A 25,881-nucleotide genomic window follows, 5' to 3' on the forward strand; every position below is an offset into this window, starting at 1 on the left:
CTACCATAAAAATCAATGAAAGCACCCCATAACTAAAATATCAGTTTGTGAACTTGAAAAGGAAAATAAAATGGGTTGAACATGCTCTGCTTTTACAGTCATCCCAGAAAACTCCCAAAATAGAATGGATAAGGTAATTTCCTTCCTTCCATCCATTCATCCAATATTGAGTGAATGTCTATTTCCAAAGTATCATTTTAGGAATGGGAGATTCAAAGATGAGCAAGAAACAGTCTATCAAGATGCTGACAGCCAGAGATAAAGATGGAAGTGCAAATAAGTTAAACAACTTAGCCTAGGCTGCACAAATCGGAAGATGGCAGAGCTGGGATTTGAACCCGGGTGTAAACCTGTCTTCTTTCCTCTTCATGTGAGTTCCCAGAGGTACATTATTATTTACTTTCAGTTTCTTTGTTTTCAGAAGTAAAATATGGGCAATGAGAACTGTAAACAGCTAATTTTCTAAGACACCTTTTCATTTGGATAATAACTGCATATTTTAAGAAAAATATGCCTGTAAGCATAAAAAAGTTCACCTATTCACTTTCCACTACAATTTGAGTCCTATTACACCCAGGACTCAAAATTATTTACTGTGTGCCTGGCATATACTCACAGAAAAAGAAGACAAATTTTTTGTTGTTGTTGTTGAAATAGAGTCTCACTCTGTTACCCAGACTGGAGTGCAGTGGTGTGGTCTCGGTTCACTGCAACCTCCACCTCCTGGACTCAAGCCTCAGCCTCCCAAGTAGCTGGGACTACAGGTGCACGCCGCCAAAGCCTGGCTAATTTTTGTTTCTTTGTAGAGATGGGGTTTCGCTATGTTGCCCATGCTGGTTTTAAACTCCTGAGCTCAAAGCGATCCTCCCACCTTGGCTTCCCAAAGTGCTGGGATTACAGGCATGAGCCCCCACATATGGCCCAAGAAAACAAACTTCATTAAAGTTTCAGGATTAATAATGAGCAAGTGACACTCTGCCAAAACACATTGGAGGAAAATGGAAGTGAACCTTCATGAATTCCTGAATTTATTCAGCACACATTTATTGCACACTTACTGCATTCATGTCATTATGCTAGATGCTGTGGAAGAGGCAAAGATGGGTAAGTCCCAGCCCCTGCTTTTAGGAAGCCCATACTCAAAAAAAAAAAAAAAAAAAAAGACAGAAGAAAACACTCAAGTGACTAGAATGCCAGAAAAAAGGCAAAACAAGCGGGAGTTTAGCAGCAGCAGAAGTCACCTCTGGCCAAAATTTCTGAGGAGGAGCTTCAGGGAGGAGAAAATAGCAAACTGGGCCTTGAGGAATGGACAGACTTAGACACGTAGAAATGGTGGTGGAGGTGAGGGGTGGGAGGACCGTGGTCATTCCAGATGCCGAGAGGTCTGACAGCTCACCTATCACTTCCTCAAGGGCAGGGTTATGTGCTTGCTCTTGTTCACTGTTGCATCTCCATGGCCTGGCATTGCACATGACGTGTGAGCAGGCACCCCATGCACACTGCCTAAAAGTTAAATACAAAGGAAGGGAAATTCAGGGCACAATTGGGTGACTGACCAGTGGTGCAGTCTGGTAAGACCACAGAGTGAGATCCAGCAGAGAAAGAGTCTAGCTGGCCCTGGAAAACAGATATGGAAGGAGGTATAGGGATGCTAGGATTCAGGCTATAGCCTTGGAGGACCACATGCCTCAAGTTGATGGCTATAGACAAGAGAGAGAAAAAGCAAAAAGGAGACACAGCAGGAATGAGGGCAGAGGCTTGACTCACAAATTAAATATTGGAAAAGAGAAAATAAGGAACAATCTGATGCTACAAGGGCCAAGTTAGGATGCACATGAAAAAATGCTAAGAATAGAACTTTACCCACTTAGCCTTTATGCATGTTGAGTATACTTAGGAAATGCCTGGGACCAGAAGTGTTTCAGATTTCAGATACTTTTGAATTTTGCAATGTTTGCATTATACATACTTACAGATTCAGCATACTTAATCCGAAAATCCAAAATCTGAAATGCCCCAATGAGTGTCTCCTACAAGCTTCACATCAGAGCTCAAAAAGTTTCAGATTTAGGAGCATTTCAGATTTCAGATTAGGGGACTCAATCTGTATTTACTGATTTGACCAAAGATTCTAGATCTTTTACAACAAAATAAAGTGACTCTGAATTTTCTTTTTGTACAGAAAAAAGGGCATAATCTTGAATTTGTATCTTCATATCTTCTGTAGCTACATGAAAACAGTCCTGAAATCTCCTGCTTGGTCCTCACCTTTCCTCTACCCAAGTAAAACTGTAAACTAAGCCATGCATTGATGTTGGTCCCGTGGCCCCAGGATCTCTCCAGCAATGCAAACCTCAAATCACTTGCTGCTCTCTAGAAGGTCAAGGAAAAACACATTATACTGGAATGCATTAGTCAGTTACTCAGTTACATAAGCTCAATGAAGATGTGTTTATCAGGCCTAAATATCTGCAGATATTCCAGGTAGCTGTCCTAGATATAAAAATTAAGTGAACAAACTGCAAAACAATTTAATCCATTTAATTGGCAGGATGCCATCGCTGATAGTGGGGTGATCTCAGGAACAGGGGAAGGGCAGGGCAGGGTGAAGGATAAAGCCTGACCATAGGAAAAGAAAAGCTCGGAACAGCTTTCACTATGGCAGCAAGCAATACAGAGAAACCCCACTTAGCAACAGGCAGAGTGAGGGTGGGAGGGTTTCCATTTCAGAAGTCGTTTCTGGGCCACCATGATGAAAGGGGTGTACGGAGAGTCATCTGACGTTGGAGATTGGTTCCCTCACTGGTAAAATGGGTGCCTGTGACTCTTCTCTGGGACAAGATACTATGGCATGTGGCAAAGATTACTTAAAATCCTGCCTCAGGTCTTGAAACAGTAAATGATTCTTCTCACCTGGGGAAGATGAAGGGTAGGTCCCAGTGACCCACTCAGCCACTTCCCCAAAGCTCTGCAATTGTGTGTATTTATTCTCCCAGTGTGTTCATTTTTTATTTTTTGAGATGGATCTCACTCTGTCGCCCAGGCTGGAGTGCAGTGGCGCGATCTCGGCTCACTGCAACCTCCGCCTCCCAGGTTCAAAAGCGTCTCCTGCCTCAGCCTCCCGAGTAGCTGGGATTACAGGCACACGGCACCACGCCCAGCTAATTTTTCTGTATTTTTAGTAGAGACAGGGTTTCACCATGTTGGCCAGGCTGGTCTCAAACTTCTGACCTCTCAGGTGATCTGCCCTTCTCGGCCTCCCAAAGTGCTGGGATTACAGGCATGAGCCACCGCGCCCAGCCCCAGTTTGTGCTTTCTACCTTCACATTAGTTCTTTGTCCCCCTGAACACTTTAATTAAATGTCTCAGCATATTTTTCAAGAAGTAATTTTTCCTCTTCTGAAATGTTCTAATTGTGGCCGTTGTCGGTTTCTTAAAGAGAAGTTCCATGAAGATGAAACATAGAATTTAAATAAAACTCAGGTTAGCTTTGAGTTGTGTTTCTCCAGCTGGTTCTGCTAGAACGATTTCTAGTTTGTTTTCTCTGAGGAAACGCTACTAAAAAGAGATTTGGGTTTAGAAAGAAAGATATACATTATACACCCATAAGATTGCCTACAAAGAAAAGAGCTACAATCTGAATTTCTCAGGCCTGGTTTTGCTTCTCTGTAATTCACTCCCGAAGAATTCTCTAACTGCAGATTCGCTTATTCCTCGTTCACTCACACTACCAGGGAGAATCCAGAGCGTTGTAAGGACGGGTGTGCAGGGACTGGAGGAAAAGGCTGTGCTATTGGCTGAAAGGAAAACAGGTCACAAGTAACCAGCTAATCCTAAAAACTACAGGGAGGAAGCTGTCTTTAATGTGGAGATAGTGGTGCGTATTAGAAAAAAGAGGATTTCTAATTTGTCTGTCTTGCTCTACTGTTTTGTGGCAACTGAGCAAATGAAGATTAAATTAGCTGTCATTAAGACTACACCATGTTTAATAAAGTTAAAACTGGGAGAACATCTTCATAAAATAAAATTCTAAGCTTAACACATTGATGGCGCTTAATGAACCAAAACTGGGTAAATCCCTTTGGAGAGTCAACACATAAACAAAGCTATTAATTAGGTCGCAGTTGTTTCCCAACAAGCTTTTTGTTTGATTTACTTACAGTAAACAAAACTATATCTATCCGTCTTTGTGGAGAAGTATTCACCAATGCAACAAAACGTAATTATTACACCTTAAGCACTTGCAATTACAGGACTGCATGATGACAATAGTGTTGGTTATGTCCTTCATTAACATCTGTCACTTCCCCAGCCACTCCCTGAGCCTGCCTTTTGGAGTGCTGAGCTTTGCAGCTGATTCACTTGTCTCTATGTTTTCACAGCTTTCAGAATAACAGAACAGAACATGTGTTTTCTGGAACGGTATCTCTAAAGCAAACAAGGGGAAAAAACAAACAAACAAAAAAAACAAAACACCTCCAAAATCAAAGATCTGAGGAAGAATGGTATTTATGGTGTTCCCCCGAATTGAAAGCTGGCTGATGATCAGAAGCTCTAGAATACAGGAGATGCTTTCAGCTAGGGGTTGAGGGAACATAGAGGCCAGTTCCCAATCTCAAGCTACAGAATGCATGTCTCCTGGGTTCCCTGAGGCTGAATCCTGCCACTGCCTGTTAAGAAAAATTGGAAAATAGTTCTCACAAAGAATTCAGAGCTTGTAATAAGACTCCTTACTTAAATTTATACCTCCTGGTAGGACCTCCTGTGATGCCACTGATGACCTCGTGGCCAGGGAGCCCTAAATGGAAGCTCTCCCAATATCATTGGAGAGATCGCCATAGATGGAGACACTAATGGAGTTGGGAGTGAGAAGGAAAGCTCCATGTTGAAATGCAAGGTCATCTCAACAGTTACATCCTCCAAGGGAATGCTTGCCTTTCCCTCCTCCAAGTTTACTTCTTCCGGGTCTTCCTCATTCATCCAGATAGTCAGGTCCCAAACAGAGAAACCAGGACTGACTACCCCTGTCTTCCCTCAAATCTCACATTCAATCCATCACAGTCCAGTTGCTTTACTTTGCTATTTACTCCAAATCTATCCATTGCACCATCTTCACTGCTCACACCATAGTCTAAGCCGCCATTGTGCATGGTGTAGAGAGGGCATGACCGCAACAGTGAATGCTGCGTTTGATGAACTGAAGGACAATAACTAAAGGACTGTGGCTTTTACTGCAAAGGAAAGAGAGAGAACAGAGGGAGGAAAGGCTAGAAAGGTAGGGAGGGGCCAACTGTAAATTGCTTTGTAGAACCATGTTCAGAGTTTAGATAAAGACATTACTCAAGAGAGAAAAAAATTAAGGTTCTCAAAATCTACCTAGAGGGACTGGTATATAAAGCAATAAACTAATGGGCACACTTCAATAATGGTAACAGCGCTGATGGATCAAGAAGATGCTTGTGAACTAGACATTTATGTGGTCAGAAGCTGATTGATCAGATTTAGGAGTGACCAACTGACTTGTCTGCCAAGTTCTGTCCTTGCTTGCTGTCTCTCTAACTAATCAGACCTTCTAAGTTGACAGCACTTCCAAGCATTAGATAATAAAAGGAGTAGCTATCACCAATGCGGTAACAGCAAATCCCAACAAGAAGTCTATATGATACATTTAGACTACAGGCGCCTGCCACCACATCCAGGTAATCTTTGTATTATTAGTAGAGACAGGGTTTCCCCACGTTGGCCAGGCTGGTCTCGAACTCCTGACCTCAAGTAATCTGCCTGCCTCGGCCTCCTAAAGTGCTGAGATTACAGGCATGAGCCACCGTGCCTGGCCTTGCTTCCTAAAATTATCACTGTTTCCCTTCATTTTCTAAGCCCTCCAATTCTTATGTAACAAATTTCCTATGTTAAATCCTTTCTGTTGGAATCATTTGTTTTTCTGGCTAGGCCCTCTCTGAAAATAATTTGTGATGGATCTTCTCATCTCTTCCCCTGTGACACGTATCTTGTGAACGTCCCAACAGCATAGAAGTTCTGCAACCTTACCCAACAAGCCCCTTGCAGTATATAAAAACCTAAATCTTTCATTAAGGGGATCAAGCATGCTGAAACAACTGTGACAGTGACAATGACTGTGATCTTCTATTGGATACTACTCCGTAGTATGACAGTTAGCATCACAAGCTGAATCTTAGATTTGGAATATTTTCATGGTAAACTTTTAACATATGATTTTTGCATATGATTATATGCAAAGAGATACATTGGATATATTGTTAGTAGCACTGAGGGTGTAGTTAAGCATATGAATTACTGCTGGGAAGAGAGCCAAAATTAACAGAAAATTAACTTACTAGGGGTTTCTATCAAGTTTTACAAGGAAGGAATAAACTGAAAAAGTGAACATAATTGGGAGCAACAGGAATTCCGCAGGTGAAGGACTCACCATTATCTTGTCGCTGTCAATAATGGTGTTCAATCTGTGTGCAATGGTTAGCACGGTGCAGTGGGCAAATTTCTCCCGGATTTTTTTTTGTATTAACTCATCAGTTCTGCAATCAAAGAAGTTAAGTTTAATTTCGTAAAGATGCAAAAAGTAGACTTAAGACTTAAAAAGCTCTACTTCACAATAGAGATTTAAAAAAAAAAGATCATATCTATTTAATGTTTTAAAAATCATGTTAAAATGTTTTAGGACAATCTTATTCTTTAAAAACAAGTATAAAAATCTATGTAGTAATTTACTAATTTTCATAAAACAACGAAAAATGTCTTCCCTCCAAATTGCTTAAAGCTGATTATTGGGAGTGGATTTTAGGAATCTAGCTCTCCTGGGATACTGAATAATATCTCTGACACTGGAAAACACGTTTGGGTTTCTTCTTTTTTTTTCAGAATGAATTTATCCATGTTAAAATGTTATGTCTGGGGCAAACAGAGCACTTAGAAATATTTCTCAGAATCATTCCATGTTTCCCATTTACACACTTAAAATGTGGACTCAAGGTTACATGGACCTCAGCTTTATACCTTGGATCCACATTTGCCGTCGCTTCATCAATAATCAATATCTGATTTTTCCTGAGAATTGCCCTGGCAAGGCACACCAGTTGTCTTTGTCCAACACTAAAATTGGATCCTGATTCTGCTAATTCAGTATCCATTTTACCAGGAAGATCTTCAATGGTTTCTTTAAGTTGTACCTGTAGATGTACAAAGAAGAATGACTGCTATCATTCAAGCCGCTATGGAAGTAGTCAAGCCTCATAGACATTAGAACCTTCAAGTCCCTTCTCTCGAGAGATATAACTTAAGTGGACACACACATGAGGCTGAATTACCTCTAGTTAATGTTCAATGAGAAAGATGGTAGAGTCAACACAAAACGGAAATATTCTGACTTAAGAGAACAAACAATGGAACCCAAGATGCTCCTTTATCACCATCAGCAAACACAGTCTGTTCATGCAGGGTCACGTGTTAATACTGCCTGGGCCAATTTCATTAAGAAAAACACAGTATGATCAATAAAAGTATTCTGTAGGTAAAATACAGAAAGATAAAAAAAATTCCCTTCTTTTTAGTTAAAAGATTACAGAAATTTAGAGAGACAATAAGAGTGATGGTTGCCAAGGGGCTGGAGGATTAACTGTAAATGGACACAAGGAAATTTCTTGGGGTAAGAGAGATGTTTTAAAACTGGATTCCTGCAATGACTGCACAACTCTATAAATTTACCAAAATCACTGAATCACTTCTAAGGGGAGCATTTTCTGCTATGCAAATTAGACCTCAATAGAGTTGTTGGAAAAAAATCATATCAGTGTCCCCCAGCACCTGAACTCCCTTACCAATAACCAACATGACAGCCAACAAGAACCCCTCTTCCAGGTAGGGAAGGAAGTTTCTCAAAAAATGAAGCTCATGCTCCCAATATAGAGTCTGAAGAAAAGGTGAAAGGATCTTTCTGGTTGAGTCAAGTTTCCCAAAGCACATTTTGGAGACGAGTGAGTATAACTCAAGGGAAAATTTAAAAAGAAAATTACTGCAGGAAGTATGGTCCTCCAAAGATATCATCTTATAGGCACTTTACCATTTTGGAAGGTTTTTTAATCAACTGGAAAAGTTAAAAAAATACAAATGCAAACAATGGGAAACTGTGCCTCATTTGTTAGGAAATCAGGAGCTTATTCTTGGGCTGGTCCTTTCCCAAGTTTAAGCCCCTATGGCTATAAAGTAGGTCAGTACATTTTCTACAGTCTAATAAATGTTTTGCAGTGAATGAAAACTCACAAAAAAACAGGACACAATATAACATCTTGCCCCAGACGACGGGGATAGATGATGTTGATATTAATGTATCTTTATAAAATTGTAGCTATAAGATGATCTGATACTACATTGGGTGGTGGTTCAGTTCACTGATGTTTGTTTTGGAGAAATTTTATAGAACAAGAGCCAAACTCAGGTGACATTTGAGAGCTATAGAGGAACCAAGAGTCAATACATCTCCAATTAAGAGATCAGCAAGCAGATAGATGAGTGATGGCCAATAAGCAGGTGTACAGAACTACAATGCCCAACAACAAAAAGCCAAGAGTAAACGGGTAACATTGTCATGTACCTTAAACACGGAAGCACACTTCTATGAATGTGATCTTGAGTTGTACTCATGATGGAAGTCCAACTCCAAGAAACAGGAATTTTGAGTTAAGATTAAATATGGTATTGATATTTGGCATTAGCATGCAAGGTAGGAAATTAAAATCCGAAGTGTAAGATTTGGCTCGTGGTGCAAAATGTTACCCTGAAAATTATAGGATGGAATATGTCAGCTTAGTCAAACCCTCTCCATTACAAAGAAGAGGACTTGCTGAGTAATCTTTTTATGAAACATACTCACAGACCTATACCCCATGTGATGGAACTGATCAAAAGTAGATGTTAGCAAAGTTTTTATTAGCTTTTCCTTCTGAGTTGATTTTGATAATACTGGTAAGTGCAAAAAGGTCTTTTCTAAGACCGGCAGCCAGATTTGAAGAAATAATCTCACACTTGCCCTTGATTAAGGGGCCAACCCATCATTCTTCTGGGTTTTGACCCTCCTTGAGGTTATCCACATTGACTTGATGAAGAATAGGGTTGTGAGGTGAAGAATAATGAACACATTTCCCAGATAACAGTGTCTTCTGAGACTCTGTCATCATGATTGAATCGGGGATGGTTATGAGAATGATATGAATGTATGGCCAAGTACAGTGGCTCATGCCTGTAATCCCAGCACTTTGGGAGGCTGGGGCAGGCAGATCATCTGAGGTCAGGAGTTCGAGACCAGCCTGGCCAACATGGTGAAATCCCATCTCTACTAATAATACAAAAAAAATTAGCTGGGCATGGTGGCGGGCACTTGTAATCCCATTAGGAGGCTGAGGCAGGAGAATTGCTTGAACCAGGGAGGCGGAGGTTGCAATAAGCCAAGATCGCGCCACTGCACTCTAGCCTGAGTGACAGAGTAAGACTCTGTCTCAATTAAAAAAAAAAGATATGAATGTGAAGGCCCTCTGTAGTGTTATCATACATTCAAGTTATGGTTAAGTATTAGCACTGAGAAAAAGACAATGGAGGCAGTGGAACACAGTGACTAAGAGTGACAACTGGGGAAATTGAAAATATATTAAACAATGGTATTACATTACTCTTCAATTTCTTCAGTGAGGTAAATAACTGTATTATGTCATGTAGTTGAATGTTCTTGTTCTTAGGAGGTACACATACATATTTAAGGATGAACTGCAACTTCATGGAAATGTCTGCAACTTACTTTCAAGGGCTATAAGAGAGGAAGCAAATGTAGCAAAATACCGTATTAACAAATGGTGAATCTTGGAGAAGGGTATGTGTATGTTCATAATACTATTCATTTGACTGTTCTGTGATTTGGACATTTTAAAATAAAAAAATGGAGCCTTGAAGACACACAGCATGGGTATGAGTCCTGCCTGGCTCTGCCAACTGGGCAAGTTCCTGAACTTTCTCTATCTTAGCTTCCTAATTAACTTGTAAATAAGACCATACTAAGATTATTTTGAAGATGTTTATCTCCTAAAATTGTTGGAGTATAAAATCAGTCAGTATGTGTAGCATTTACAATAGTGCTTGGTACCAAGTAAGAGATCAATAGATAATATCTATTCTTTTTGTTTATTTTGCTCCTTCCTGGACAATGAAATACTGCCTATTCTTTTTTTTTTTTTTTTTTTTTGAGGTGGATTCTTGCTCTGTCACCCAGGTTGGAGTGCAGTGGTGCGATCTCAGCTCACTGCAATCTCTGCCTCCCAGGTTCAAGCGATTCTCCTGCCTCAGCCTCCCGAGTAGCTGGGACTACAGGTGCATACCACCACACCTGGCTAATTTTGTTTTTGTATTTTTAGTATAGATGGGGTTTCACCATATTGGCCAGGATGGTCTCGATCTCCTGACCTCGTGATCCACCCGCCTCGGCCTCCCAAAGTGCTGGGATTACAGGCGTGAGCCACTACGCCCAGCCGCCTATTTTTAATAATGCAGTCAGCTAGTTCTTTTCATGCACTGCTGTAGTTTTCTTCACTGCATTTACCAGTACCTAATATTATATTACATATGCATTTTCTTATTTTCTATCTTCCATACAAGAATTTGTGCCCTAAGAGGGTAGGGATTTTATCTCTCTTGATGACTGCTATAGCTCCAGAGTCTACAATGCCTATGTAAAAACCTCCCCACACATAATCTGTTGAATGTATGAAGTCACAAGGATACCTCATTTTGTGACATGTCTATTCTTATAAATTACAAAGTAAATCCACAAAGAAATAGAATTTACATACAATTTTCTTACTAAATGTCATTGTAAAAGAAACAGTCCTTATAAAATTAATTGGCTCCAAGATATCATAACATTATACTTTAAAATATAGAAAACTTAATGTTTTCTACATTTAATAAAGGTTGTAATTTCAGGAAAACAAAATCAAATCATACTATTTGAAACTATACATTTCAAACACAATGTATCAGGTTATTTTGAAGCTTAGAAAAAATAGGAAACTACAGGAAAAGTGAAAATAATGAACTGAACTTTCTAAGACAGCCCATTTCTATCATCATAAATGTTTTCAAAGCCTCAAAGAGACTCATGTGGATGTCAGATTCTGTTTCCATGTTTCTTTGAACTTTCTGACTTTTCATAAAGGAAGTCTCTGATGCCAGAGACTGAAATGTGATAAACAGCAACTCAACAGATGGGAACAACCTTTAACAAGAACACAGCTAAGTGTGAACGAAGCGAGCGGAAGCCCATTCTGGGCAATACAGGCCTGGGAAAAATGGAGGTGCAAGGTGTGGGGAATAGAAGGCCCAGAGGATGTGGACACTGCTGATGTGCAGATTTCTGTCTTATGGTGTCCTGAATACAAGACATCCTTGTATTCTAACAGCAATTCTATCAATGTTGAACATGATTAGATAATTTCTCCACTATTCCAACATGATATAACCTAGTCTTAATTGTAGATCCCAGTATTAAAGTCGTTTTTTAATTAACAGAAATAACGTGCTGCTGATTCATTTTCTTAGTTGTACCTACTGTGTGATCTTTTGACTTTTTTCTCATAAACGACTTCCATCTTTAATCATTACTTACGTTATATTTACAGAGTTGCTCTTATTTAGGGGCCCGAAGTGGCACTAATTCTAGTAAACTTTCTTCCATTTACAGCTGACTATTTTTCAGTATTTACGATAACTTTCAGCATTAGAAAAGAAACCCCAAAAAACGAGCAGGGTGTGGTGGCTCACGCCTGTAATCCCAGCACTCTGGGAGGCCGAGACAGGCAGATCACTTGAGGTCAGGAGTTTGAGACCAGTGTGGCCAACATGGCAAAACCCTGTCTCTACTAAAAATACAAAAATTAGCCAGGCATGGTGGGGCTTGCCTTTAATCCTAGCTACCTGGGAGGCTGAGGCAGGAGAATCACTTGAACCCAGGAGGTAGAGTTTGCAGTGAGCTGAGATTGCACCACTGCACTCCAGCCTGGGCGACAGAGCAAGACTCTGTCTAAAAAAATAAATAAATAAATAAAAATAGGCCAGGCGCGGTGGCTCACGCCTGTAATCCCAGCACTTTGGGAGGCTGAAGCAGGTGGATCACGAGGTCAGGGGTTTGAGACCAGCCTGGCCAACATGGTGAAACCCCGTCTCTACTAAAAATACAAAAAGAGTAGCCGGCATGGTGGCAGGCACCTGTAATCACAGCTACTCGGGAGGCTGAGGCAGGAGAATCGCTTGGACCCGGGAGGCGGAGGTTGCAGTGAGCCGAGACTGTGCCACCGCATTCCAACCTGGATGACAGAGTGAGACTCTGTCTCAAATAAATAAATAAATAAATAAAAATAAATAAATAAAAAAATAACCAAGATGACACAACCACATCCATAGGACTGTCTCCCTCCAGATGCCCGAACTTCTTTTGCATGTCAGGTATTACCCTTTCCAAGGGATCATGGGTAAGAAGAAATAAAAAAAACTTCCAAGAAATAAAAGGCATCTTTCCTTTTTATGTGGTTAAACCACCTTTTAAGTGGTTAAAGAGGAAAAAACTGACAGTGCTGTCCTAATCTCAAGCCAACCCTCTGAGTTTGGGTTCCCATTTCCAGTTTGGCCTCATTTATAAACCAAGTGACTATGTTTTTTGTCTGCTTTAAAGGGGGTTTCCAAATGACACCAGGTTTCCTACTAAAGAGCAAGATGAGTTATCCAGTTCTGAACTGGATATCAATGAAAGATGAAAACCATGGAGACAGCAGAGAGACAGAATGTGACAGAGAAGTCCAGAGAAACTTGAATGGCACCAGAGTCGTGGTGCTGAATCCCTTGTGTGGTATCTCTCAAGATAAACACACACACATAACTTCACGTTTACAATCACCAGGAAGTAAGATTTGGAATTCTCTACGAGAAGACCCTCAGACTCCACGGACCCCAGGGGAAGAATTCCTGACCTATCAGAATGCCCCCAGCCTCCATCAACTTGTAGTCATGAAACTTGTTGTGAAAAACTCACAATGCTTCATTTGTTAGGAGTGCTCAGCCTTTCCCCTGACCATCTAGAAGGTAAAAAGAATACAAGCACCCAGAAGGAAATTTGGAAAATCCAGGAAAACTGTAGAGAAAAGAAAACACTCTCCTCCAGTCTTTGTCTCATTACCCCCAAACGAGCAATGTAAATGCTCTGGTGTCTTTCTTAGGTCAGGTGTCAGAATATAAGAATGATTAAAAACAGCTGGAATCACACTGGAAATACAATGTTGTACCCTAATTTTTAGTAACTCTTCCAAATCATTCACAGAAAAACCTACAATGCCATAAAGAAGTAGTTCCCAGAGAAAGACAATGATGGGATAATTTTTCACTTCTGAGGGGGACCTACCACGTCTTCCACCTCATCATTTCTAGAATTCTTGAGAGGCTACTAAATTTTATTTTAATTTTGGCTATAACAAATGAAATAAGTATGAGTTACAGTCAAGTTCCATGATGGTTTTTGATAGGATCATCTCCCAATTAACATTTCTTCACTGTTCATAGAGAAATGTGTTTCTAAAAAGTACTTTTGCTCTCTGAGAATCTGTGACAAGGAATCTCAAGCTCTGAAACAAATAGAAAAACACTTTATGAGTAATTCTTGTTCTTTTAGGGTGTGTCACAATTTCACTATTAAACCTGTCCTGAGAGTTTAGGGGCACAGGATTGCCTTATCTTTCTTTACATTTGACAGTTAACTGTACCCACCTCTTCTCTCCTAGAATTTCACTGTACAGAGATTCACAAATTTAAATGAAATCAGAGGTCAATTGCTTATCAAGTATCAGGAGGTGAAGTAATCGACCTAATTTAGAAAAAGAAAATCCCCACAGTTGCTGGAAAGCAGGGTGGGTGTGTAAGGACTCGGCAATGACATGCCTTCAGAAACAAGAATTACTGGCAGGAAACTGTCAGGCCTCCAAGTCTACTTGCTCACAGTCAAAACCCATCTATAAATTAAAGATTTCAGAGCTATCCCTGGAAGGGCAACAATGACAAATGCACCAATTCAAAACAACAACAATAACAATGGAGGGAAATTAATCTCTGTCACTCAGGCTGGAGTGCAGTGGTGCAATCATGGCTCACTGCAGCCTCGACCTCCAGGGCTCACAAGATCCTCCCACCTCAACTCCCTGAGTAGCTGGGACTACAGGTGCATGCCACCACATCTGGCTAATTCTTTTTTTTTTTTTATTTTTAGTAGAGACAAAGTCCACCATGTTGTCCAGGCTCCACACTTCTTTGAAATGAAGAGATCAAACATATTAATACATACTTATTAAATGCTTACTTTTTTTTAACTTTTAATATTTATTATTTATTTTGGGATGGAGTTTCACTCTTGTTGCCTAGGCTGGAGTGCAGTGGCACAATGTTGGCTCACCACAACCTCCGCCTCCCAGGTTCAAGCAATTCTCCTGCCTCAGCCTCCTGAGTAGCTGGGGCTACAGATGCGCACCACCACGTCTGGCTAATTTTGGTATTTTTAGTAGACACAGGGTTTCACCAAGTTGGCCAGGCTGGTCTGGAACTCCTGACCTCGTGATCCATCCGCCTCAGCCTCCCAAAGTGCTGGGATTACAGGCATGAGCCACCGGGCCTGGCCAATTTTTATTTTTATTTATTTATTTATTTATTTTGAGACGGAGTCTTGCTCTGTCGCCCAGATGGGAGTGCAGTGGCACGATCTCGGCTCACTGCAACCTTGGCCTCCCAGGTTCAAGCAATTCTCTTGTCTCAGCCTCCTGAGTAGCTGGGACTACAGGCGCACACCACCATACCCAGCTAATCTCTGTATTTTTAGTAGAAATGGGGTTTCACCATGTTGGTCAGGCTGGTCTCAAACTTCTGACCTCCAGTGATTCACCCACCTCAGACTTCCAAAGTGCTGGGATTACAGGCATCAACCGCTGCACCCAGCCTTAAATGCTTACTTTTTAAAAGCAAAAGACTAAACTAGGTCCTGTGAGGGATTACCAGTTTTATGATATGGTTTCTGCCATCAAGTAGACTGGCACAAATTTGCAGAACTAGACTGAACACAGAAAATCAGTGTTAAAATACACAAACCAACAGCACCTTAATAGTCAAAGTCCTTTTTTCATGCAAGGGTGAGAAAATTTCAAGAAGTGGCCCAACAGGAACCACATAAATAATAGAAAAATCCTCTAGAAATCAACATATTAGTATAAAACCTTAGCAGAGGCTGCAGGGTTCTGTTATCTGCATTAAAATTACACGTTTGCCAATAAATAATTATTATCCCATTCCAACTGTATAATTTACCTTTATAAACACTTTCTTATAAAACTTAAAGCATTTCATAAATATGATCTATCTTTTAGTTAATGAAAAACGACTATGGTCTTCCCTTACTAGAAATTCCCTAAGAACAGAGCAGTAAAATAAATGGTGCAGAGTAACTTAGTCACTAATAGGATCTCAACTCATAAATACAACTTCTAGTTTAACGCATTGCTAAAGACAAATAAAACAACACCAAACTGTTTTGGACAACAGGAAGAAAATTAAAATGAGAACCAGGGAAATTTTATTTTTGGTTTTCATCATCATCAGTATACACATTATAGCATATCCACATCCTCAATGATCTCCTGGGTGGTGAACAAAGTTAGTTAAACCGCTAAGCTCCTCTTAATTTCCTGCAATGCTGTAAAGGTACATATACACATACTGAGGCTAACAGACTAAAGATAATTACATTTTATCAATTACCTCTTGTAAGGCATTCCACAGTTCCTCATCCGTGTGCTCATTAAAGGGATCCAGGTTTTTCCTCATTGTTCCAGTGAACAAAACAGGTTCCTAAGTGCCCAAAATAGTCACGGTCATTACCACAGACTCTTTTTTCATTTTATTCCAATGCTAACATCAACAATAGAATTAAGATACCAAAAAATAAAATTCATGATAATAATTATAGCGTTACAAATGCCTGTTTACAAAACAACATATCTATTAATGTTCCACTGTACAAAGCGTGCTCCAAAATACCTTCCAGACCACTGAACACTAACAAAACTGTTGCAATGTGCTATCTTAAGAAGAAAATGAAAAATACAGGCCTGATGTTTAAAACTGTTTTCCTCATATTATTAGCTTAACATGAAATATAAGGATATAATTATTCGAGGGTCTACATGAATAGAGCTATAGAAATTAACTATCAATCATGTAATACTGGAAAATACCGACAGCATGATTAAAGTTTGTGCTTCAAAGCCAAATTATTAAGCATTTTCCAATTTGCACTAAAGAATAAATTAGGATTATTTTCTCCGTTGGCAAAACAGTTTTCCAAGATTAAGAATCTCTCACCGGGCGCAGTGGCTCACGCATGTAATCTTAGTATTTTGGGAGGTCGAGGCGGGTGGATCACCTGAGGTCAGGAGTTCTAGACCAGCCCGACCAACATAGTGAAACCCTGTCTCTACTAAAAATACAAAAATTAGCTGGGCATGGTGGCACATGCCTGTAATCCCAGCTACTTAGGAGGCTGAGGCAAGAGAATCGCTTGAATCCAGGAGGTGGAGGTTGCAGTGAGCCGAGATCGTGCCATTGCACTCCAGCCTGGGCAACAAGAGCAAAACTCCTTCTCAAAAAAAAAAAAAAAAATCTCTCCAATGTCAGAATGGGACATCCTTTTTTTTTTTTTTTTTTTTTTTTTTTTTTTTTTTTTTTTTTGGCCAAAGGAGATCTAAACAACTGGGGCCAGAGGCACCTCTACTTATGAAAGGATTGCCTCTGATTTTGCATCAGTGAATCCCCACATTATCTCATCTGTGCATCAAGGTTACCTGGGTCACAGAACCTCATTATTAACTAAGAAAGCAGGGTTACCTGAAAACCACTGTGAAGGAGGTCATAATAAAATTACATCAATTTAAATAGCTGTTCCTATTCATCTGCTTCAGGAGGATCCCACAATTAAATCACTCTTGGAATATCAGCCTCTTCCTGGATTTCAAGAGAGACTCTTGAACATAAGCTTAGGTAGGCTGTGTGAAAGTTTTCTTCTGGTAGCTGGGTGCGGTGGCGGGCACCTGTAGTCCCAGCTACTTGGGAGGCTGAGGCAGGAGAATCACTTTGACCTGGGAGGCAGAGGTTGCAGTGAGCCAAGATTCCGTCACTGCACTCCAGCCTGGGCCACAGAGCAAGTCTCCATCTTAAAAAAAAAAACAACAAAAAAACAAAAACACAAACTTTTCTTCTGGAAGGCTCTAATAAGCCAGGCCATAAGGATATAGGAGCCCCATCAACTGCTTTCAAGGATAGGGGCAGAACAAGGGGATGCACAGATGTGGGAACAAGAGAAGGTGAGACTCTTCCACAGGTACTGGAGAAATGCTCAAGGGAACCACTGGCCTCAAATCTCACCTGGCTTTGGGGCAGGACTGTTCCTCCTCACTTCCCAAAAGCCTGAGAAGAGAGATAAAGGTGGTAGACTTCTTTTTTCTCCAGCCATAAAGAAAAATGATATCCAGGGAGGCTCTCATCCCTTTCCCTATCGTCTCCGTTTTAAGGCTGGTGAGGAAGAAATGGATGTAGAAGGCAGACAGGGTGCCACCAAAAACATAAGTCCTCAGCAAAATGCAAAAATGGAAACGACGGTAAAATGGGCACTTTGTGTGTATAAAGCTGATAAAGTGGCCAATATCCTTCCAAAAGCACTGAAAAGTCACTGGTCACATGATGTTTCTGAATTACCAAATGGAACTGAAAAATTCCAAGAGTCACAGGTAAGGTCTGTCTTAAAAGTACCCAACTGAAGACCAAAACCTGAACAACCATCTAAACAATGGTGGGAATTTCTTGTGAGGGGAATAACCATCATTCTGGTTATTTCAGATTAAAAGATAAAAACTTGACTTACTCTTTGTAATTATCAACTCTAAAATTCCAACCTCTGCAGGCAGAACATTTCAGAGTAGAGATTTATGGTAAACATACAATCTTCATGTAAAATGTAAAAGATTTAGTAGCCTAAGTACATATTTATTGATGGTATATATTTTAAAATGTCATTTAGTACGAGTTTTAACCTCCATTGTTAGCAAAACCAATGTTCTGTTCAACGTATTATTTTAAATGAAGCACCAGATCAAACCTGTTTTTCATTAGGGTTTAAAGGTCATACTTTTTAAAAATCTTTGCGCCATACTGAGTAGTAATTTTGTCCTCATTACTCACATAAGACAAGCTGATATTAAACATGTGACCAGGCTGGGTGTGGTGGCTCATGCCTGTAATCCCAGCACTTTGGGAGGCCGAGGCAGGTGGTTCACTGGTGGTCAGAAGTTCAAGACCAGCCTGGCCAACATGGTGAAATCCCATCTCTACTAAAAATACAAAAAGTAGCCAGGCAGGGTGGGGTGCGCCTGTAATTCCAGCTACTCGGGAGGCTGAGACAGGAGAATCACTTGAACCCAGGAGGTGGAGGTTGAAGTGAGCCAAGATAGCACCACTGCACTGCAGCCTGGGAGACAGAGCAAGACTGTCTCAAAACAACAGCAACAACAGCAAAAAAAAAACCCACCACGTGACCTAAAAATGGCCGCTCTGAATCAAAGCATTTAGTGCAGTAAATTGATAATCCCTCAGCAGGACTGCAAGACTGAAAATTACAGTCTTCCTAGAGCTTTCATATAAACTTCTGGAAGACAAGCCTCTCATTATCTCAAGAAGAAACTCTATCCACCAACCTTCAGACACTTAAAACGACCTGGGACCAAGACAAAAATCGCATGGGGAGTTACAAACCAGCAGGACAAAGCACAATACTTTACCCTAATCTTGTCCCAAACCAGGAAACTTCGCTCTCTTAAAATATACACTGCACAGTAGCTAGCCACAACTGCTGCTGCCTGATGTCCTCAGAGCTATGTGTGCATTTCAAATCCTGAAGACCTTGATTCAGGGCAGCTCATCTCCCTGTGTCAAGAATCAGGGAATCACCTGAAGTCACTTTAAATCTTGGTTTCCCTTCTTTTTTAAAAAAACCCTGTAGCCTCTGAATGAACTGATCATCATCCATTTTCAGAAGAAAAGAACATTGTTCACCAACAAAGGAAAAAGAATTTAAGTCGTGTAAAGTCTTCTTTAGATACAAAAAGGTCACCAGCTCCAGGGAGCAGTTCCATGGCCTTAATGAAGACTTCAGTGTGCAGAAACAAAGGACTGACTGCATTAGGCCAGAATCCAATTGTATTTCTTTACTAGTAACTGCATACCTACCTCTTTTCCCTTTGAATTTTGTTCTCAAAAAGAAGAAAAAAAAAAAAAAAGGAAAGAAAATCAGGTAATAAAAAAAGAAGTCTTAAAGAGACACACTCTGGTTAACCTTTTCAACTTACTGAAGAAAATTCAGGGAGTAGAAATACCAAGATAGCAGAAGTCTGAGCAGTGGGCTGCTTAAAAACTACTTAGCTTTTGCTTTGATAGAAAAACAAAAAAGTCCATCAAATATGAAAAATGAATCTGTTTAATCCTAACAAAGATTATAGCTGTTGATGTATGCCAACCGTTAGGGTGCTATCATAAATGTTGAATTTGCATGAAGTTACTCTTTAGTTGAAAACATTTATTTGTGCCAGTAGGATTGGAGGAGTAAATAATCCATCCTAAAAAAAGTTTTGAAATCCATTTTTCCAGATCCTTCAGTTAAGCAAACTCTTGTCTGAGTTATAGTATCACCTTGGTGTTCTCCTTGGGAAGTGCACTTAACTACCCTGTGTCATGAACACAAAAGAAGCATACATTTCAGCTAACTATTCTGTTTAGGGAAATTATTTAGGAAGTACTTTCACTGTTCGCTTCTTCCTGAAATTTTGAATACAAATTGAGGGGTACTTTCTTAAGAATTCAGTATTTTTTTTTTTTGAGACAGAGTCTCCCTCTGTCGCCAGGCTGGAGTGCAGTGGCACAATCTCAGCTCATGGCAACCTCTGCCTCTGGGGTTCAAGCAATTCTCCTGCTTCGGCCTCCCGAGCAGCTGGGACTACAGATGCGCACCACCACGTCCGGCTAATTTTTGTATTTTTAGTAGAGACGGGGTTTTACCATGTTGGCCATAATGGTCTTGATCTCTTGACCTCGTGATCCACCCTCCTTGGCCTCCCAAAGTGCTGGGATTACAGGCGTGAGCCACCGTGCCCGGCCCAGTATTTGTTTCTTAAAGTGACTCCAGGACTGGCCCCTGACTATGTATGTCATCATTTCTGTGCCCCAGTTCTTTCCCAGGTCCTTGCTGCTTAATCCTAACCACGAATTTGAGTTGCTAATGGTGTGGTCAAGAGTGACAGAGGACCCTGAACCATAAATGAAAGGGATAAGCCAGGAAGAGAGAGAACACAGAAACTCGTGCTCCACACAACCCCAGGAAGCCATGCAGGCTAGACTTGCCCAAACATGGCCATTCGAAGAAACAGCACTTGGTTCTGCTTTTGCTGTGTTTGCTCCCAAACTTCCTAGATTCCCTACATCAGTGTGTGGTGACACAAGCCATTTGGCTTTCCACTCACTTCTGAGGAAGAGGGGTGTATGCTTTCTGCACTGCAGACCAGTAACCTTCATGCAACCTCAAGTCTCCAGCCTTCTCCACCCTCTGCAGCCAGCGAGGCCTCGGAAGAAAAAGGGCTCTGAGCTCCCACAAGGTAAGGCTTGGAGGATCTTCTGACGCTCACTAGCCCACGACACATAAGTGAATACACTCTGTTTCCAAAATGATTTTCTTTTAGTGCTTAGTGTCACTTAAGGTTTTGGAAAAAATAAAAATAAAAATAAAAATAAATCACAAATGATTCAGTCTTTCAAAATGACCTAACTGTCCAAATGACAGATAAAGTTCAAAGAAAAGATACCTTTTGACTTTGCTGTATATTTGCTCTCTTTGGTTATGGCTTCTGGGAACCTTTTGTAAGTTGGGTAGACAGAAAAACAAACAGTACTTTGGGAGGCTGAGGCAGGCGGATCACAAGGTCAGGAGATCGAGACCATCCTGGCCAACATGGTGAAACTCTGTCTCTACTAAAAATACAAAGATTAGCTGGGTGTGGTGGCACGCACCTGTAATCCCAGCTACTCGGGAGGCAGAGGCAGGAGAATCGCTTGAACCCAGGAGGCAGATATTGCAGTGAGCTGAGATGGCGTCACTGCAGTCCAGCCTGGCAACAGAGCAAGACTCCATCTCAAAAAAAAAAAAAAAAAAAAAAAAAGAAAAGAAAAAGAAAAAGAAAAGAAAAACAATGAGTAAAATGTCTGATGAGATATCATGCTGTCCAACAAATACTTACTGAAAAAAAATTGAGCTGGATAGTTCTGAGTTCTGATTCTACTACTTATTAGCTGTTCATCTCCAGGTAAGTTATTAATCTCCCTGAGCCTTAGTTTCCTTCCTGGAGAATGGGGCTAACTTGACACACCCTGCAGGGCTGCAGTGACAATCACTGTGTCATAAGGCTCCTTGCACGGTGCTGCCAGGCAGCAGGAGCCCGGCCAAGCAGGGCAGCACAGTGAGGCACGCTGTTCTTCAAATGGCAGGTGCAACCAATGGATCATGAAATCACTTTTGTGACTCATGACCATCCTTATGTCTTTTATATGAACCAGAATAGAATGGATATAATAGAAAATATCAGGGCGCAGAAGCATGGAGTAATATCGTGTTGTGAGACTTTTGTTTCTGTGCGTGTGTGCGCACCTGCACAAGCCCACACTAAATCATGTTGCAAAGCAGAGTTCTGATCGGGGACTGCGCCAGCCAACATGGGTTTAAAGTCCCTAGGAGAGGGTTCAGGAACTCAGGATCTGGCATTGAGATTCGCCGTAAATTCCATTTGAATCCTGACTCTGCTGTTTACTTGTTAAGTGGGTTAAGCTCTCTGTGCCTCAGTTTGAAAATGTGTCAAATGAGGATGACACAGAATTGCTGTGAGGACGAAGTGGGAGATGGCAAGGAAAGAAGATAACCATGTTAAGGATTCTGCAAATGTTAGGAATTCTCACTACTTGTGTAACTTGTCTGGGACGCAACAATCACTAAAGCACTGGATCTAAGAGGGACAAGCCCCTGTTCTCACGCAGGGCTGAGAACCAGTGTCGGCTGCCTGCTCGCGAAATGCAAAGCATTAGAGGGGTACTGAGAGTGGTGAGGAATGCCGCTAAGACCGGGGTGGGGGAAAGCCAGAAAACAAAGTGATAGCCTCACCTTTTGTTCCTTGTGAGAAAAACATTAGATTTCTCTCTTAGGCTTTTATTGTGCACATTTTTTTTTGTTTGTTGCTGCTTCACTATTTAAATTTACATAAACAATTTGGTTAAAGGAATTCACCAAGGATCACAAAAATAGAAACAGAAGTTAATGAGCCAAGTCCTTCTAGAATAGCGAGTAGCAATAATGCCCTAAAGGCCTGCACCCCAATCCTTAATTAGAAATAGTTACTATTGAGCATTCCTCAGAACCCAGAGTAGGGCCACAAACATGTTCTCATCTAGTAAAATCTTCACAACAAATCTGTAAGTTAGTAATTACTAGGTTTGGTTTAAGGATGAGGAAACTGAAGCTTGGAGGCTAAGTGACTTCATTGAGGTCACACTTCTATCAGGCAGTGCTGGAATAAAAATGTGGGTCGTGTTGACGCTTAGAAGATGCTCTGAAAGATTCTATCCCAGGCAGTCTGCTGAATGATTTCCTGGGTCGCATTAAGTATTGCACAGTCCCTCTAGACTATGTTTCTTTTTTTCAACCAACATTGAGCCTTGGAGACAAAGCCATACAAAGTTAAAAAGGAAAGTCTCTCTGTTTACAATGCTTGGAGATCAGGATCTACATGGATACAAAGCTTAGCAGTGTTTTGTAAGCATGCTCCCTGGACTACATACATAGAGCATTTGCTCAAAAGTAGGGTGGAAACTTATGGAACTGAACCAAAACCTGGTGATGTCAAGGTATATTTAGTCTTTGCTCAGATGTGCTTCCAAAACATTACTGGCAGAGCCAAGAATCATCTAATGTTACTTCTTTATTTAGAGTTCTTTTATGTACACAAGCACACAACTATTTCTTATTAAGAATTCATTCAAAGTAATGCAGGGCACGTTCCTAGAACCTTTCATCCAAGGATATAAAAGCACTTTACAGACATGCCCATTATCTCTGCTAAGTAAACCTCATTTGGCCCATTTTTGAGATGGGCATAACCAAAATATAAAACTTGAGAATTTATACTCTCATTTTCTACTGTAAGCACTAAGTCATGCTTCTAATAGCCAGAGGGAATCTAACGTGCTAAACATTTCTTCCCATTTTATCCTGAAAGGGATACTTTTTTTTCTTTAAACTAAAAATAAAAATTGTGGTACAATACACATAGCATAAAATTTACTGCTTTTGCCATTTCAAAGTCAACATTTCAGTGGTCTTAAGGACATTCACACTGTTTTGCAGCCATCACCACCATCCATTCACAAGACGCTTTTCATCTGACAAAACTGAAGTCCTATGTGAAATAATGTAACTCCCAACCCCCCACCTTCCCTCAGCCCCTGGTGACGACGCTTCTCCTTTGTGTCTCTGTGAATTTGACTAGTCTAGGTATCTCATATTAGGGGAACCATCTAGTGTCTGTCCTTTTGTGACTGGCTTATTTCACTTAGCATAATGTCTTTAGGGTATATCTGCATTATAGACTGTCAGGATTTCCTTCCATTTTAAAGCTGAATAATTTCCCATTGTATGGATAGACCACGTTTTATTCATCTGCTCATCTGGCGATGGACACGAGCTATTTCCACCTTTTGGGTACTGTGATGATCATGGATGTACAAAACTCTGAGATCCTGCTTTTAATTCTTTCTGGAAGTGGAACTGCTGGATCACATTAGCTCTCATTTTTTGAGGAATCTCTACAGTGTTTTCCAAAGTGGCTGCACCATTTTACATTCCCACCAACAGTGCACAGGGTTCCAATTTCTTCACATCCTCCAAATTACTTAAGCGTGATTCCAATTGTTTTAGAGGTCAGTGCTAGGATAGCCATAACTGTACTTGGTCTAAGATAAAAATCACATTCTCCTTCCCTTCCGGTGGCACGTTCTCTATGCTTCCTACTAAACAGGCATTGAAGAGTTGTTTATATCCACATGCCCAGAAAGCTCATTACTGCCTGGGTTTTGCTCTTGTCTCCTCTCTGTGTTTCTCTTCTCCAGAATATGTGTTTGTGTGTGTGTGTGTGTGTGTGTGTGTGTGTGTGTGTGTGTGTTCCTCAGCTCCCCTCAATGACTATAGAGTGTTAAAAAAAAAAAAAACCCACATTAAAAGAAAACAAACAAAAAACCCAGCCATGTCTGGAGTTGAATATGTGGAGGTGTTAAAGTGAAGGACAGGATGGAACTGTGAGGTCCGATGGAAGCCATGAGGCCCCACAGCTGCAGACCCCATGCCGGTGGGGACAAGGTCTATGTTGCTCATGACTATACACCTGGAGAATAGTAATTACTCAATGAATACTTTCTGAATTTATGTTAAATATGAACCAAAGCAATGACAGGAGCTCTTATTGTACAAATAATCCAATCTCTAGAACACTCCTTGAGAGTCACTTCTGCAAAGGAGAAGAAAAGAAAATAGAATCAGAGTCCGGGAAAGGATGGCCAATTTAACCCTCCACCATCAGAGCAAACACTCACTGGGTCTGTGTGAAATACACCACACACTCTCACAATGGTGATCGTAAGGAAGATGAAGCAGAAGTGCAGAGAGATGGAATTCCGTCTCTCATGTTCTTCCTTGCTATTCTTTAACAACCTCCTGGTTAAAATCATTCACCAAGAGCTAGATTCTAAAAGTCACCACAAAGCCAACTATAAGTTTTTTAACTCTCACAGCCCACAGTTTCACAGAAAGCCCTTCATGGAGGTAATCACCTTTGAGAAGGTAGCTTTAGTTCCTACAGCAAAATTCCAACATTAAGACACTTAAAATCCACATCTCCCCATAGAAACCTCCCCAGTGCTAAACAAACAATGCATCATTTTGTTCTTTATGGTTATCAGTGGATAAAACTGTGGCATCTTAGTACAGAAATCTATCTGCGTAAGTTATTAAATATCACACACACACACACACACACAGAGAGAGAGAGAAATGAACAAAGCTGGATATCTGATGAAAATACCTGTTGAAAATATCTGCTCATAAAAACATGCTCTATTGGGTGAAAAAAAAAACAATCCTTTCATCCAATTAAAAAAAGCAATAAGAGTAAAAGCAATTAAACATAGTAGCTCTTATAAAAGGGGCAGGTAAGGACGCTATGACTTGCATACCTGAGGTATGATTGACATCTTCTTCCTTAAATCGTGAAGTCCAATTTCAGTTGTCAAGATCTTATCAATCCAAATTTTACCTTCGGGTTCTGACAATCTAAAAAGGGCTGAGATGAGGGAACTTTTTCCAGCTCCGGTTCTTCCCACAATGCCAACCTACAGAGAGATCCAGGCGGCAGGATTAAAAAAAAAAAGAAAAAAATCACAGGATGCAGCAAAACTAGGAGAAAACTTTCGGTTTTTGAAGAAGAATTAAGGACATTCTATATTGAGTGTAGTCTAAGAGTTTCCCAACCTCAGCACTGATGACCTTCTGAGCTGGATACTTCTTCATTTTGGAAGCTGCCCCAGGCATTGTGGGAGGTTCGCTAGCATCCCTGGACCCTACTGCATAGATACCAGGAGCACACT

General features: G+C 40.6%; 1 protein-coding gene across 4 annotated transcripts in view, besides 1 other annotated feature; it reads right to left on the reverse strand.

The window, feature by feature from the left end:
- The window catches only part of ABCC4 (ATP binding cassette subfamily C member 4 (PEL blood group)), a 281,617-nt gene that overhangs the window by 17,399 nt on the left and 238,337 nt on the right, over window positions 1-25,881 (reverse strand). For all 4 annotated transcript variants that reach the window (NM_001301829.2, NM_005845.5, XM_047430034.1 and 1 more), the window contains 4 exons: window positions 25,471-25,626; window positions 15,862-15,951; window positions 7,033-7,205; window positions 6,449-6,554 (listed from right to left, as the gene is read on the reverse strand). In NM_001301829.2, coding sequence (NP_001288758.1) covers window positions 6,449-6,554; window positions 7,033-7,205; window positions 15,862-15,951; window positions 25,471-25,626 — 525 coding nt within the window. The remainder of the gene's footprint in view (window positions 1-6,448; window positions 6,555-7,032; window positions 7,206-15,861; window positions 15,952-25,470; window positions 25,627-25,881) is intronic.
- Window positions 13,987-14,176: an enhancer, noted in NCBI's record as "active region_7867". NCBI's record gives its function as "activates an Ori minimal core promoter by ATAC-STARR-seq in GM12878 lymphoblastoid cells {active_cell/tissue: GM12878}" and the evidence as "EXISTENCE:reporter gene assay evidence [ECO:0000049][PMID:35858748]".

The sequence above is a fragment of the Homo sapiens genome, chromosome 13 (genome assembly GCF_000001405.40).
Source record: "Homo sapiens chromosome 13, GRCh38.p14 Primary Assembly".
NCBI lineage: Eukaryota > Metazoa > Chordata > Mammalia > Primates > Hominidae > Homo > Homo sapiens.